The 15,947-nt window shown below is 40.8% G+C and overlaps 2 annotated features.

Annotated features, from left to right (window-relative positions):
* Positions 389-889: an enhancer, noted in NCBI's record as "H3K4me1 hESC enhancer chr6:62043312-62043812 (GRCh37/hg19 assembly coordinates)". NCBI's record gives its function as "activates a minimal SCP1, AML or CMV promoter by ChIP-STARR-seq in primed H9 embryonic stem cells {active_cell/tissue: H9 hESC(primed)}" and the evidence as "EXISTENCE:reporter gene assay evidence [ECO:0000049][PMID:30033119]".
* Positions 890-1,390: an enhancer, noted in NCBI's record as "H3K4me1 hESC enhancer chr6:62043813-62044313 (GRCh37/hg19 assembly coordinates)". NCBI's record gives its function as "activates a minimal SCP1, AML or CMV promoter by ChIP-STARR-seq in naive and primed H9 embryonic stem cells {active_cell/tissue: H9 hESC(naive and primed)}" and the evidence as "EXISTENCE:reporter gene assay evidence [ECO:0000049][PMID:30033119]".

Here is a 15,947-nt window from a genome sequence, read left to right as displayed (position 1 = left end):
ATGGGAGGGACCTTAAACTGTACTTCTTTCTACACCTACGGCAGTAAATGTCACTGGAATAGATTCTTGAATTCATTATACTAGCGTGAAGTCCTGGGAAACTGATGAAATTACCTCCATTGACCCAGGAGAGCACCCAAAGTACCAGAGTGAATAAATCAGGGACCTCAAGCTAACAATCTCAAAAGAGAATTACTAACAATTAACCCTCCATGAATATCCTATGCTTGCTCTTCTCACTTTTCTTCCTTGCCATAGGGCATCTTCATCAAGGACCCCTTAATCCTGAACTCCCAAGGGATTATCTACTCCCCTAAACAGTTATTTCTCTTTTAAAGTTTAACTGCCTCCATACAAGATTTAATTCCTTTTACCAGGGTGAAACAGCTCTAGCCACAACACTGTTTTCAGAATGATTAGTCTATTTTATTTCTTATTTCTGTTATCTTTTGGCACTAGATTTTTTCCTTTGCATACTTAACCTCCTTGTAAAATTTGTTTCTTCTCACCTAGAAACCATCAAACTCCAAGTGGACATGCAACTGGAGCCTCAGAAAATGGCTCTCCTTTTACCAGGGGCCTTTAGATAGGCCTCTGAGAGAGATCTGACTGCCATTTTTCCCAGAATGCCCCCTGTCAGCATGAAGGAGTTAAGAGTGGTCATTGTCTGTATCCTAATGGCAGTTAGATGTACCTCTTCGGGTGAAGCAGGGTGATGGCAGCGGTGGCTTGTCTTGAGCAGCTGCTGCAAAAAGACCAACTGCAGCAGGGGAGGCATGGCCAGGGCTACATGTTCTGTGGAGCTGGCAGGAGCTGAGAACAGGTGGGAGCCCCACCCTCTTCCAAGTTGTTGGGGCTGGAACTCCACTCTCCCAGGCACAGCTGCAGAAGCCCAGTCATGGCTGTGGACTCAGGCATCTCTGCACTCTCGGGGGCCCAGGAAGCCCCCCTTCCCCACAGGCTTGGAAGTGCCTGCTCCCACTGCCTGGCCTCTGCCCACTCCCAGCACCCACTCCAATTTTAGAGTGAAGTTGTGGCTGAGCCTGGGTGCTGTCATGACCTGGCCAGGTGTGCTCATGCTCAGGGCAGTGTTGACACACCAGCCTGCTGATGCCTTGACCCTCTCTGAACATTGAGCACTGATGAGCATGGGAGAGAGGCTGAAGGGGGACTAAGGATGACTTGGCATGGGCTTGTAGGCACCACTTGACACAGACAGCCTGGGTGCCATGGCCACCATGGGTGGCAGGTTAATGGTGTTAGGAGGAAGACAAGTTCCTGGATGGAAAGGGGTGGGTCCCCAGTGAAGCTCCCCCTTTAGGCCTGGGATGGCCTGAAGCCTGGGGGCCAGGTTGCCAGTTCCACAGACCAGAGTGAGAACTTACTGTGCTTTTTCTGGGCCTGCCAATGTCTGCCTGTGGACTAATCAGGACACCCTCTTCCCCTCTGAAGCCCATAAAAGCCCCTGACTGAGCCTTACTCAGGCAGACATCAAGATGACCTGCCTTCAAAGAGGAGCTACCCACTGTGGGTATTCTCTCTGCTGAGAGCTGAGCAGACATTTAGACAACCTGTCTGCAGAGCAGAGCTACTCACTGTGGGTCTCCTCTGAGCTGTTCTGTTGCTCAATAAAACACCTCTTTGCTTTTCTCACTCTCCACTTCTCTGAGTACCTCATTCTTCCTGGATGTAGGACAAGAACTCAGGACTGCTGAATGGCAGGGGTGAAACTGAAAGAGCTGTAACACAAACCGAGCTGAAATACGACCTCCACTTGCCACATTACAGGTGATGAGAAGGAGAGAAGAGCTGCATCCTTTTGGGGATCCCAGACCTAGGAGCTCCCTGAGCCAGGACTGTGACACTCTCTTTGGGGCTTGGTGATTCCTGGTGACTCCAAACTTCTGGGCAACACCATGTTCCCCTGTGCCTGCCATGGAAGCCACTTGTGGTACTCCTGGTCCAGCTGCAGCCTCGCAGGGAGCCAGTGCCCATGACAGCACCTGGGGCTGCCCACCCTGCTGCAGTCAGCATGCTTGGCTGTGCACAGTGGCTGGACCACACACTCATTCACTCTTGCACCACTCACCACTCTGTGTCTGGCTTGTCCTTTGCAGGTGTGGGATCCAGGTTGGTAACATAAGCTGAGTGCAGCCCACCGGCTGAGTGGGTGAAATAAGCCCAGCAGGCCCAAGCAAAACTCAGGTAAAGGCACCACTAGCCACAGAGGTTTCCAGCTGGTGAAGCAACTGAAGTATCCCATAACAATGCAAGAAACTGCCTTTCCTTTGTTCCTAAGCAGATAGCTACAAATAAAGTGTTAAATATCTTCACAGGTAGCTACTCTATATCCACCTTATCTTATATAAAGTACTGATTTACTGAGCACAGCATGTATAAATAATTGAGTATTCCCCTACCTGTTTCTTTTCTTTGGCAACATGTGGATTACCATACTCTCCCTCTTTCCCCTCCAGCCCACATTTTTTTCTTTAAATGCTGAAGCCCTCAAAATTGCTTTTGGAGAAAGGCACAGACCACAGACTGTTTCTGTGATTTTGTGTTTTTTTTCTTCTGGGCATGCCCTTAATCTTGGCAAAATAAACCTCAAAATTGATTGACACTTGTCTCAGATACTTTTAGGTTTACACTTGTTTAGCAAAATGCTTTCATGAAACATGGAAAATGAGGCTTAGACATAGCTATGAAGGCTGAGGAGAGAGACAAACCAACATTATGTTGCCCTTAATGTACTATAAAATAAGACTTTTTGAATTTCCTGACAAGTTGAGAAGTGGAAAGTGTAAGTAGAAAGTCACTAGAAGGAAGAGAAAGGAGGCCAACAAACCAAGGAAAGCCAGAATGCTACACCCTGTGATGGCAAATGAGAATGGCTGAAGGAGCATTTATAAACAGGAGTGTTTCATTTCCCACAATAAGCTCTTGGTCATGCAGAGACCTCTTGTTCCCCACCGCACCATTATATCATAACTCCTGATACTTCAGTGACAGTTGAACAGGGGCATGTCCACTTGGGGAATGGATATGTAATGGTTCTTTCCAAGAGTAAGAAGACCCAAAGAGGCATAGCAGTAGCTTGCCTTGAATAGAGAAAAGATCCATAGAGTGATCCATGGTAACCAGAAAATGTTTGGAGAAAATACATTCCTTTTTTTTCTAAGTGAAAGTAATGGGACAAAAATTTTGAAATCTATTTATGTCCTACATTTTAAGAAATGCACTCTTTCTGTGTACCTCCCTTCTAGGCTCCTGCATCTACCAACAGTAAATCATTAGCAACCTTATGAAATGCCACAGAGAATGGGCTTTTGTGGTAGAAAGATGAACATAAAAGGAGAAGCTGAGAGCAATCAAACATCCACTTAGGAAGCAGTTTTACCTATGGGAATCTTCATTGGGTGCCTTTGTTTCATTTTGATTACTAGCCTTAGTGTTTCCTGGAGAACAAAGCCCTGATTTCTAGAAGTATGCTTTATCTCCTGAGCACATAATTTCTGAGCCTAGGAGTATCTTATAGACAGTAACTATACTGATTCAGTGGACTTAGACAATTTCACATTTTCTGATTTTTTTTTCTTGGGTGGATTCCAAAGATTTAGGATAGCTTTTTTTTTTTTCAGAAACACATATAGCACAGTGTAAAAATAATTTGCATTGCTATGACTATCTCATAGGATATCTCTCTTTCAAGGTGCCCAGCAAAATTTTTGGCATGAATCAAATTTATTTGGGGCCTCAGTTACAGAGTAGACACAGTATGTAAGCAAAAATGTAAATGCATTTTTTGCTTTCATAATACAGAAAGAGCTCATAAAGCTCTGTTGGATAAACAAGTGAGTGACTCGATATTTAAGCAATTAATCAATATTTAAGAATTATGTATATATATTTATTTATATCCAAGCTTCAAGATTGGAAATTTAATTCTTTGTATATAGAAAATAATTGACGTAAGATTTTTTCCCTGACACACAAACTCTAAGATTTATGCAAGAGTTCTGAAGTGTACTTTTTATCAAATAAAATGGAAGAGTTAGAAGAGTTTTAAAAGTTAGTTAACTCCTTTGAAATTTGTAAGAACTTCAGAGAAAAAAACTTTATTAATCAAGAGAAAGATATTACACAATTCCAAATCTTTATAATACAGGCATACCTCGGGGAAATTGTGGGTTCAGTTCTAGACCACTGCAAAAAAGCAAATATCACAATAAAGCAAGTCACACAGATTTGTTGGTTTCTCAGTGCATATAAAAGCTATGTTTACACTATACTGTAGTCTATTAAGTGTGTAATAGCATTGTGTCAAAAAAACAATGTACAGACCTTAATTAAAAATATTACTAAAAAATGCTGACAATCATCTAAGCCTTCAATGAGTTGTAACCTTTTTTCTGGTGGAGGGTTTTGCTTTGTTGTTGTTGGTTGCTGAATGATCAGGGTGGTGGTTGGTTTCTGTTTGATAGCATTTTACCCACTGCAGAACTTCTTTCAAAATTGAAGGCAATCCTCTCAAACCCTGCTACTGCTTTATCAACTAAGTTTATGTGCTATTCTAAATTTTTGTTGTCACTTCAACATTGCTCATAGCATCTTCACCAAGGGCAAATTTCTTTGCTCTTTAAGAAACCATTTTCTTTGCTCCTTCAGTAACTCCTCATCCATTCAATATTTATCATGAGATTTCAGCAATTCAGTCCCATCTTTAGGGTGCACTTCTCATTCTAGCTATCTGGCTAGTTCCACTACACCTGTAGTCACTTTGTCCACTGAAGTCTTGAGCTCCTCAAAGTTATCCACAGGATTGGAATCAACTTTTTCCAAATTGCTGTTAATATTGATATTTTGACCTCTTCTCATGAGTCACCAATGTTATTAATGACATCTACAATAGGAATCCTTTCCAGAAGGTTTTAAATGTATTTTGCCCATATCCATTAGAGGAATCACTATCTATGGCCGCTATAACCTTTCAAAGTGTATGTCTTTCTTTCATTTTTATTTTAGGCATGAGATCTCTCTCTGTCACCCAGAGTGGAGTGCAGTGGCATAACCATAGCTCTCTGCAGCCTCAAACTCCTAGATTCAAGTGATCCTCCTTCCTCAGCCTCTCAAGTAGCTATAACTATAGGCACAGGCCAACACATCTGGCTTTTTTATTATTATTATATTTTAAATTCTGGGGTACATGTGCAGAACGTGCAGTTTTGTTACATAAGTATACATGTGCCATGGTGGCTTGCTGCACCCATCAACCCATCACCTACATTAGGTATTTCTCCTAATGCTATTCCACCCACTCCCCCAACCCCCCAACAGGCCCTGGTGTGTGATGCTCCCCTCCCTGTGCCCATGTATTCTCCTTGTTCAACTCCCACTTATGAGTGAGAACATGCAGTGCTTGGTTTTCTGTTCTTGCGATAGTTTGCTGAGAATGATGGTTTCCAACTTCATCCATGTCCCTGCAAAGGACATGAACTCATCCTTTTTTATGGCTGCATAGTATTCCATGGTGTTTTTATGCCACATATTTTTTATCCAGTCTATCATTAATGGATATTTGGGATGGTTCCAAGTCTTTGTTTTTGTGAATAGTGCTGCAATAAACATATGTGTGCATGTGTCTTTATAGTAGAATGATTTATAATCCTTTGGGATTATAAATCCCAGTAATGGGATTGCTGGGTCAAATGGCATTTCTCGTTCTAGATGCTTGAGGAATCGCCACACTGTCTTCCACAATGTTTGAACTAATTTACGCTCCCATCAATAGTGTAAAAGTGTTCCTATTTCTCCAAATCCTCTACAGCATGTGTTGTTTCCTGACTTTTTAATGATCACCATACTAACTGGCATGAGATGGTATCTCATTGTGGTTTTGATTTGCATTTCTCTAATGATCAGTGATGATGAGCATTTTTTCATATGTTTGTTGGCTGCAAAAATGTCTTATTTTGAGAAGTGTCTGTTCATATCCTTTGCTCACTTTTTGATGGGGTTGTTTGTTTTTTTATCTTGTAAATTTGTTTAAGTTCTTTGTAGATTCTGGATATCAGCCATTTGTCAGGCGGATAGATTGTAAAAATTTTCTCCCATTCTGTATGTTGCCTGTTCAGTCTGATGATAGTTTCTTTTGCTTTGCAGAAGCTCTTTAGCTTAATTAGATCCCATTTGTCAATTTTGGCTTTTGTTGCCATGGCTTCTGGTGTTTTAGACATGAAGTCTTTGCCCATGCCTATGTCCTGATAGGTATTGCCCACGTTTTCTTCTAGGATTTTTATGGTTTAAGTCTTACATTTAAGTCTGTAACCCATCTTGAGTTGACTTTTGCGTAAGGCGTAAGGAAGGGGTCCAGTTTCAGTTTTCTGCTTATGGCTAGCAAGTTTTCCCAACACCATTTATTAAATAGGGAATCTTTTCCCCATTGCTTGTTTGTGTCAGGTTTACCAAAGATAAGATGGTTGTAGATGTGTGGCATTATTTCTGAGGCCTCTGTTCTGTTCCATTGGTCTGTATATCTGTTTTGGTACCAGTACCATGCTGTTTTGATTACTGTAGCCTTGTAGAATAGTTTGAAGTCAGGTAGTGTGATGCCTCTAGCTTTGTTCTTTTTGCTTAGGAATGTCTTGGCTATGTGGGCTCATTTTGGTTCCATATGAAGTTTAAAGTAACTTTTTCCAATTCTGTGAAGAAAGTCAGTGGTAGCTTGATGGGGATAGCACTGAATCTATAAATTACTTTGGGCAGTAAGGCCATTTTCACAATATTGATTCTTCCTTTCCATGAGCATGGAAGGTTTTTCCATTTGTTTGTGTTCTCTCTTATTTCTTTGAGTAGTGGTTTGTAGTTCTCCTTGAAGAGGTCCTTCACATCTATTATAAGTTATGTTCCTAAGTATTTTATTCTTTTTGTAGCAACTGTGAATGGGAGTTGACTCATGATTTGGCTCTCTGTTTGTTATTGGTGTATAGGAATTCTTGTTAATTTTATAGATTGATTTTGTATCCTGAGACTTTGCTGAAGTTGCTTACCAGTTTAAGGAGATTTGGGGCTGAGAAAACGGGGTTTTCTAAATATACAACAATGTCATCTGTGAACAGAGACAATTTGACTTCCTCTCTTCCTATTTGAATGCCCTTTATTTCTTTCTGTTGCCTGATTGCCCTGGCCCGAACTTCCAATACTATGTCGAATAGGAGTGGTGAGAGAGGGCATCCTTGTTTTGTGCTGGTTTTCAAAGGGAATGCTTCCACTTTTTGCCCATTCAGTATGATATTGGCTGTGGGTTTGTCATAAATAGCTCTTATATTATTTTGAGATACAGTCCATTGATACCTAGTTTATTGAGAGTTTTTAGCATGAAAGGGTGTTGAATTTTATCGAAGGCCTTTTCTGCATCTATTGAGATAATCATGTGTTTTTTGTCATCGGTTCTGTTTATGTGATGGATTACATTTTATTGATTGGTGTATGTTGAACCAGCCTTGCATCCCAGGGATGAAGATGAATTGATCATGGTGGATAAGCTTTTTGATGTGCTGCTGGATTCGCTTTGCTAGTATTTTATTGAGGATTTTTGCACCGATGTTCATCAGGGATATTGGCCTGAAATTTTCTTTTTTTGTGTGTCTCTGCCAGGTTTTGGTATCAGGATGATGCTGGCCTCATAAAATGAGTTAGGGGGGATTCCCTCTTTTTCTATTGATTGGAATAGTTTCAGAAGGGATGGTACCAGCTCCTCTTTGTACCTCTGGTAGAATTCAGCTGTGAATCTTTCTGGTCCTGTGCTTTTTTTGGTTAGTAAGCTCTTAATTACTGCCTCAATTTCAGAACTCGTTATTGGTCTATTCAGGGATTCAACTTCTTCTTGGTTTAGTCTTGGGAGAGTGTATGTATCCAGGAATTTATCCATTTCTTCTAGGTTTTCTAGTTTATTTGCACAGAGGTGTTTATAGTATTCTCTGATGGTAGTTTGTATTTCAGTGGGATCAGTGGTGATATCCCCTATATCATTTTTTATTGCTTGTATTTGATTCTTCTCTCTTTTCTTCTTTATTAGTCTTGTTAGTGGTCTTTCTGTTTTGTTGATCTTTTCAAAATACCTGCTCCTGGATTCATTGATTTTTTGAAGGGATTTTGTGTCTCCATCTTCAGTTCTGCTCTGATCTTAGTTATTTCTTGTCTTCTGCTAGCTTTTAAATTTGTTTGCCATTGCTTCTCTAGTTCTTTTAATTTTGATGTTAGGATATCAATTTTAGATTTTTCCTGCTTTCTCTTGTGGGCATTTAGTGCTAAAAATTTCCCTTGACAGACTGCTTTAAATGTGTCCCAGAGATTCTGGTATGCTGTGTCTTCATTCTCATTGGTTTCAAAAAACATCTTTGTTTCTGCCTTCATTTTGTTATTTACCCAGTAGTCATTCAGGAGCAGGTTGTTCAGTTTCCATGTAGTTGTGAAGTTTGAGTGAGTTTTTTAAATCCTGAGTTCTAATTTGATTGCACTGTGGTCTGAGAGACTCTTTGTTATGATTTCCATTATTTTCCATTTGCTGAGGAGTGTTTTACTTCCAATTATGTGGTCAAGTTTAGAATAAGTGTGATGAGGTACTGAGAAGAATGTATATTCTGTTGATTTGGGGTGGAGAGTTCTGTAGATGTTTATTAGGTCCACTTGGTCCAGAGCTGAGTTCAAGTCCTGAATATCCTTGTTTATTTTCTGTCTTGTTGATCTGTCTAGTATTGACAGTGGGGTGTTCAAGTCTCCCACTATTATTGCGTGGGAGTCAAAATCTCTTTGTAGGTCTCTAAGAGCTTGCTTTATTAATCTGGGTGCTCCTGTATTGGGTGCATATATATGTTTAGGATAGTTAGCTATTCTTGCTGCATTGATCCCTTTACCATTATGTAATGCCCTTTTGTCTCTTTTGATCTGTGTTGGTTTAAAGTCTGTTTTATTGGAGATTAGTATTTCAACTCTTGCTTTTTTTTTTTCTTTCCATTTGCTTGGTAAACATTCCTCTATCCCTTTATTTTGACCTATGTGTGTCTTTGCCTGTGAGATGAGTCTCCTGGATACAGCACACTGATGGGTCTGGACTATTTAATTTGTTTAATTTGCCAGTCTTTGTCTTTTAATTGGGGCATTTAGCCCATTTATATTTAAGGTTAATATTGTTTTGTGTGAATTTGATTCTGCCATTACGATGCTAGCTGTTTGTTTTGCCTGCTGGTTGATGCAGTTTCTTCATAGTGTCGATATTCTTTACAATTTGTTATGTTTTTGCAGCGGCTGGTACTGGTTGTTCCTTTCCATGTTTAGTGCTTCTTTCAGGAGCTCTTGTAAGGCAGGCCTGGTGGTGACAAAATCTCTCAGCATTTGCTTTTCTGTGAAGGATTTTAATTCTCCTTTGCTTATGAAGCTTAGTTTGGCTGGATATGAAATTCTGGGTTGCAAATTCTTTTCTTTAAAAATGTTGAATATTGGCCCCAACTCTCTTCTGGCCTGTAGGGTTTCTTCAGAGAGATTCGCTGTTAATCTGATGGGCTTCCCTTTTTGGGTAACCCGACCTTTCTCTCTAGCTGCCCTTAACATTTTTTCTTTCATTTCAACCTTGGTGAATCTGAAGATTATGTGGTTTGGAGTTGTTCTTCTCAAGGAGTATCTTTGTGGTGTTCTCTGTATTTCCTGAATTTGAATGTTGGCCTGTCTTGCTAGGTTGGGGAAGTTGTCCTGGATAATATCCTGCAGAGTGTTTTCCAACTTGGTTCCATTATACCCATCACTTTCAGGAACACCAATCAAACGTAGATTTGGTTTTTTCACACAGTCCCATATTTCTTGTAGGTTTTGTTCGTACTTTTTATTCTTTTTTCTCTAATCTTGTCTTCTCACGTTATTTCATTAAGTTGATCTTCAATCACTGATATCCTTTCTTCCACTTGATCAATTCAGCTATTGGTACTTGTGTATGCTTCACGAAGTTCTTATGCTGTGTTTTTTCACTCCATCAGGTCATTTATGTTCTTCTCTAAACTGGTTATTCTAGTTACCAATTCATCTAACCTTTTTTCAAGGTTCTTAGCTTCCTTGCATTGGGTTAGAACATGCTTCTTTAGCTTGAAGGTGTTTGTTATTACCCACCTTCTGAAGCTTACTTCTGTCAATTTTCAAACTCATTCTCTGTCCAGTTTTATTCCATTGCTGGTGAGGAGTTGTGATCCTTTGGAGGAGATGAGGCATTCTAGTTTTCAGAATTTTCAGCCTTTTTGCGCTGGTTTCTTCCCATTTTTGTGGATTTGCCTACCTTTGGCCTTTGATGTTGGTGACCTTCGGATGGGGTCTTTGAGTGGACGTGCTATTCCTTTCTGTTTGTTAGTTTTCCTTCTGACAGTCAGGTCTGTCTGCTGCAGGTCTGCTGGAGCTTGCTGGAGGTCCACTCCAGACCCTGTTGGCCTGGGTATCACCAGCGGAGGCTGCAGAACAGCAAAGATTGCTGCCTGTTCTTTCCTCTGAAAGCTTTGTCCCAGAGGCGCACCTGCCAGATGCCAGCCAGAGCTCTCCTGTATGAGGTGTCTGTCGGTACCTACTGGGAGGTATCTCCCAGTTTGGATACACGGGGGTCAGGGACCCACTTGAGGAGGCAGTCTGACCCTTAGCAGAGATCGAGCACTGTACTGGGAGGTCCGCTGCTCTCTTCAGAGCCATCAGGCAGGGACATTTAATTCTGCTGAAGCTGCGCCCACAGCCGTCCCTTCCCCCAGGTGCTCTGTCCCAGGGAGATGGGGCGGTCTATCTATAAGTCTCTGACTGGGGCTGCTGCCTTTTTTTCAGAGATTCCCTGTCCAGAGAGGAAAAATCTGGCAGTCTGTCTACAGCAGCCTTGCTGAGCTCTGGCTTTTTCTCTTCTTTTCTTTATTTGGTTAGAGACAAAGTCTCACTATGTTGCTCAGGATGGTCTCATTCTTATAGCCTCAAGCAGTCCTCCCACCTTAGCCTCCTGAGTATCTAGAATTACAAGTGCAAGCCATCGCACCCAGCTCAAAATGTATTTCTTTTTTTTTTTTTTTTTTTTTTTTTTGAGACGGAGTCTCGCTCTGTCGCCCAGGCTGGAGTGCAGTGGCGGGATCTCGGCTCACTGCAAGCTCCGCCTCCCGGGTTCACGCCATTCTCCTGCCTCAGCCTCCCAAGTAGCTGGGACTACAGGCGCCCGCCACTACGCCCGGCTAATTTTTTGTATTTTTAGTAGAGACGAGGTTTCACCGTTTTAGCCGGGATGGTCTCGATCTCCTGACCTCGTGATCCGCCCGCCTCGGCCTCCCAAAGTGCTGGGATTACAGGCGTGAGCCACCGCACCCGGCCTCAAAATGTATTTCTTAAATAATGAAACAAGAAAGCTAAAATTATCCCTTGATCCATGGGCTGCAGAATGGATGTTATGTTAGCAGGGATGAGAAGAACATTAATCTCCTTGTGTATCTCAAACAGCGCTCTTAGGTGAACAGATGCATTGCCAATGAGCAGTAACACTTTGAAAAAAAATTTTTTTCTGATCAGTATGTATCAACATTGGGCTTAAAATATTCAGCAAACCATGCTGTCAACAGATGTTTTGTCATCCAGTCTTTGTAGTTCCATTCATAGAGCATTTGTAGAGTGGATTTAGCATAATTCTTAAGGCCCCTAGGATTTTTAGAATGGTAAATGAGCATTGGCTTCCACTTAAGGTCACCAGCTGCGTTATTAGCCCCCAACAAGAGAGTCAGCCTGCGTTTTGAACCTTTGAAACCAGGCATTGAATTAAACCTCTCTATGAAAGTTTTAGATGGAAGCTTCATCCAATAAAAGCCTATTTTATCTACTTGAAGATATGTTGTTTGCTGTAGCCACCTTCATCAATGATCTTAGCAAGATCTTCTGGGTAACTTGCTGCAGCTTCTACATCAGCATTTGCTGCTTCATCTTGCATTTTTATGTTATGGAGATGCCTTCTTTCCTTCAACCTCATGAACTAACCTGTACTAACTTTAAACTTTTCTTCTGCAGTTTACTCACCTCCACAGAACTGCACAGAGTTAGAGTCTTGCTACGGATTAGGCTTTGGCTTAAGGAAATAGTGTGGTTGGTCTGATCTATCCATATCATGCAAACTTCCTCAATATCAGTAATAAGGCTGTTTTACTTTCTTACCATTCTTGTGTTCACTGGAGTAGCACTTTAAATTTCCTTCAAGCTTTTTTCATTTGCATTCCAAACTTGGCTAAGTGTTTGATGTAAGAGTCCCAGGTTTCAGCCTATGTCAGCTTTCAATATGCTTTCCTCACTAAGCTTGATCATTTAGGTTGGCGCATAAGTAATTGTTGTTTTTGCATTGTTGGAATTTGCTGTTTGATATTGGAATAAATTCTTAATAAATGTTGTTGTTATATATCATTTTTTTTTTTTTTTTTTTTTTTTTTGAGACGGAGTCTCGCTCTGTCGCCCAGGCGGGACTGCGGACTGCAGTGGCGCAATCTCGGCTCACTGCAAGCTCCGCTTCCCGGGTTCACGCCATTCTCCTGCCTCAGCCTCCCGAGTAGCTGGGAGTACAGGCGCCCGCCACCGCGCCCGGCTAATTTTTTTTGTATTTTTAGTAGAGACGGGGTTTCACCTTGTTAGCCAGGATGGTCTCGATCTCCTGACCTCATGATCCACCCGCCTCGGCCTCCCAAAGTGCTGGGATTACAGGCGTGAGCCACCGCGCCCGGCCTGTTATATATCATTTTAATGTGCATTTCTTGCTTTACTATTTTGCTAATGACTTATTACTTACTGCTTATTTTATATTTATTTTAGACTATGGAAATGATGTTAAACAAAAAGCAAATTAGAGAGATTTTCTTATTTGAGTTCAAAATGGGTCATAAAGCAGTGGAGACAACTCTCAATGTCAGCAATGCATTTGGTGCAGAAACTGCTGAAGAATATACAGTGCATTGGTGGTTCAAGAAGCTTTGCAAAGGATATGAGAGCCTTGAAGATGAGGAGATAGTGGCCAGCCATGGGAAGTTGAAAACGACCAATTGAGAGCAATTATCCAAACTGATCCTCTTATGACTATATGAGAAATTGCTGAAGAACTCAGTATCAACCATTCTACAGTTGTTTGGCATTTGAAGCAAATTGGAAAGGTGAAAAAGCTCAATAAGTAGGTGCCTCATGAGCTGACTGAAAATAAAAACAAATTGTCATTTTGAAGTGTCACCTTGTCTTATGTTATGCAATAACAACGAATCATTTCATGTCTGGATTGTGAAGTGAAATGAAAAGTTGATTATACATGACAACTGGTGATGACCAGCTCAGTATCTCGACTGAGAAGAAGCTCCAAAGCACTTCCCAAGGCCAAACTTGCACCAAAAAGAGTTCATGGTCACTGTTTCGTGGTCTGCTGCTGGTCTGATCCACTGCAGCTTTCCGAATCCTGGCAAAATCATTTCATCTGAGAAGTATACTCAGCAAATCGATGAGATGCATCGAAAACTGCAATGCCTGCAGCCGGCATTGGTCAACAGAAAGAGCACAATTCTTCTCTGCAACACCCAGCTGCATATCACACAACCAACTCTTCAAGAGTTGAATGAATTGGGCCACCAGCTTTTGCCTCATCCGTTATATTCTCCTAACTTCTTGCCAACTGACTACCACTTCTTCAAGCATCTTGATGATTTTTTGCAGTTTGCAGGGAAAACACTTCCACAATGAGTAGGATGCAGAAAATGCTTTCCAAGACTTCATCGAATCCCAAAGCACAGATTTTTATGCTACAGGAATAAACAAACTTATTTCTCATTGGCAAAAATGTGTTGAATGTAACGGTTCCTATTTTCATTAATAAAGATGTGTTTGAGCCTAGTTATAATGATTTAAAATTCACAGTCCAAAACTGCAATTACTTTTGCAACATTACTTTTGCAGCATCCTTTTTGCACCTAGCTTTTGATTTAAAGTGAAAGAACACTTGAACACTTAGAGGCCATTGTAAGGTTATTAACTGGTCTAATATCTCAAGGAATAAAACGGTTCAAAAAGAGGAAGAGAGTGAGGGGAAGCGCCAGTCTGTGGAGGAGCCAGAACACACACAACGTTTATCAGTTAAGTTCACCATCTTACATAGGTATGGTTTCTGGCACTCCAAAACCATTACAATAGTAACATAAAAGATCACTGATCACAGAGCACCATAACAGATAAAATAATAATGGAAAAGTTGGAAATATTATGAGAATTACCAAAATGTGACACAGAGACACAAAGGGAGCACATGCTGTTGGAAAATTCACACCAGTAGACTTGCTTGATGCAGGGTTGTTACAAACCTTTAATTGTGAAAAGCACAATATTTGCAAATTGCAATAAAGCTAAGCACAGTAAAATGAGGTATGCCTGCAGATACTTGCATTTAAAGGAAATCAGAAACATTTCACCCCCTGATATACTTACCTGACATAGTTTTAGATGGCTACTCAGAGGGCCTGCAGACAGGAATAACCCTACAAAGCTGCCTATTGTAGAGGAGATTTGCACCTGTAGAAAAAATTGCATTGATAACATAAAACACTCAGGCTTTCTCTGAACCCATCTTCTTGTCTGTATCTAGGAAAGATTAACTCAATCATAGGCTCCCATCTATGTTTTCAGGGGGAAGCTCCAACATTTCCTGAGATATTTTCATCTGCAGAACAGAACAGCCTTTGCTTGAAATACTTTCCTTCCTTCACTCCTCTATAATCTATAATGCCACCTCCCTCAGGGTTCAGAGAAACTTGGCCCCACTTCATTGTTCTTTGGGCTCATTGATTTCCCCTGAAAATCATTTACTCCTACAACCCCCATTCCCCATATCTCCAATAAAAAGGATATTTGTGCATCAACTATCTTGCCTTTCTTTTTTTATACTTTGTATGACTCCTGTGAACACATGTGCATGGTAATAAATTTGTATGTCTTTCTTCCTGTTTCCCAACACATTGAATGTCCGATCCAATCCTTGACCCATTTGCCCTTTAATCAATTTCTTCCTCTGTTCTAGCTCATGGAGCTGATTCCCATAAACTATGCTTTCCACCCTTTCCTGTCACTGGTTTCCAACTCTGGACAATGAGAGAAACACTTGAAATAAGAGGGCAGGAAGAAGGGAGAAGCTAGGGTGTTTCCTGCCCTTTCTGTCTGTCTCAAGTAGCATCATCTATACTAGCTACATCTCTTCTTTGGCTCTGCCTTCCCCAGACAGGCCCATTGTGCTCCCAGCTTCCACCAGGTGACTCTGGCCCCGGCCTCTGTTAATACCCCCAGTTTCTTTTCATCACCAATTTAGAAATGTTTCCATCTTTCTTCAATTGCTAATCTGTGGATTGCTTCACTACTCCTGGGTAGCTTCTGAGCAACTCTATCATCTGTGTACCAATTCCTGGTACCAAATTTTTTCTGTTTTAAATACTAATAGTGGCTTGTCTTTTTCTGGTTGGGTCCTGACTGATAAAGTGTCCTATGAAATTACTGGTGATATGAGTAAAGAAGGAAAATTTTTCAATTTAATATTAGGAATATTTAAAAATATGTATATATGCTCTCCTTCATATATGAAAATAAGCAACACAAATATAGGACATCTTCTTTTCTTTTCTTTAGAAGAGATGTATTAAGTTAGTTTAATTTTCACATCATTACCTTGTAACCAATAGTTCAGGATCCTGAGGTAGCTGGCTATAGTTAGTGATGTAGTCTGTAGGCATAAATGGAATGGAGTTAACTGGATGATAAGGGAATCAAAAGTATTACCTCAAGCCTATCAACAACATGTTTGAATCAAATGAACTGATTAACTACAAAAGCTCCAATAAGACATATTGTAGCAGTATACATTTGACAGTAAATGGCTGAGGATCAACTTA

This window comes from Homo sapiens, chromosome 6, assembly GCF_000001405.40.
Source record: "Homo sapiens chromosome 6, GRCh38.p14 Primary Assembly".
NCBI classification, from domain to species: Eukaryota; Metazoa; Chordata; class Mammalia; order Primates; family Hominidae; genus Homo; species Homo sapiens.
The sequence above is the reverse complement of the archived record's forward strand: the minus strand, read 5'-3'. Positions and strand labels throughout refer to the sequence as shown.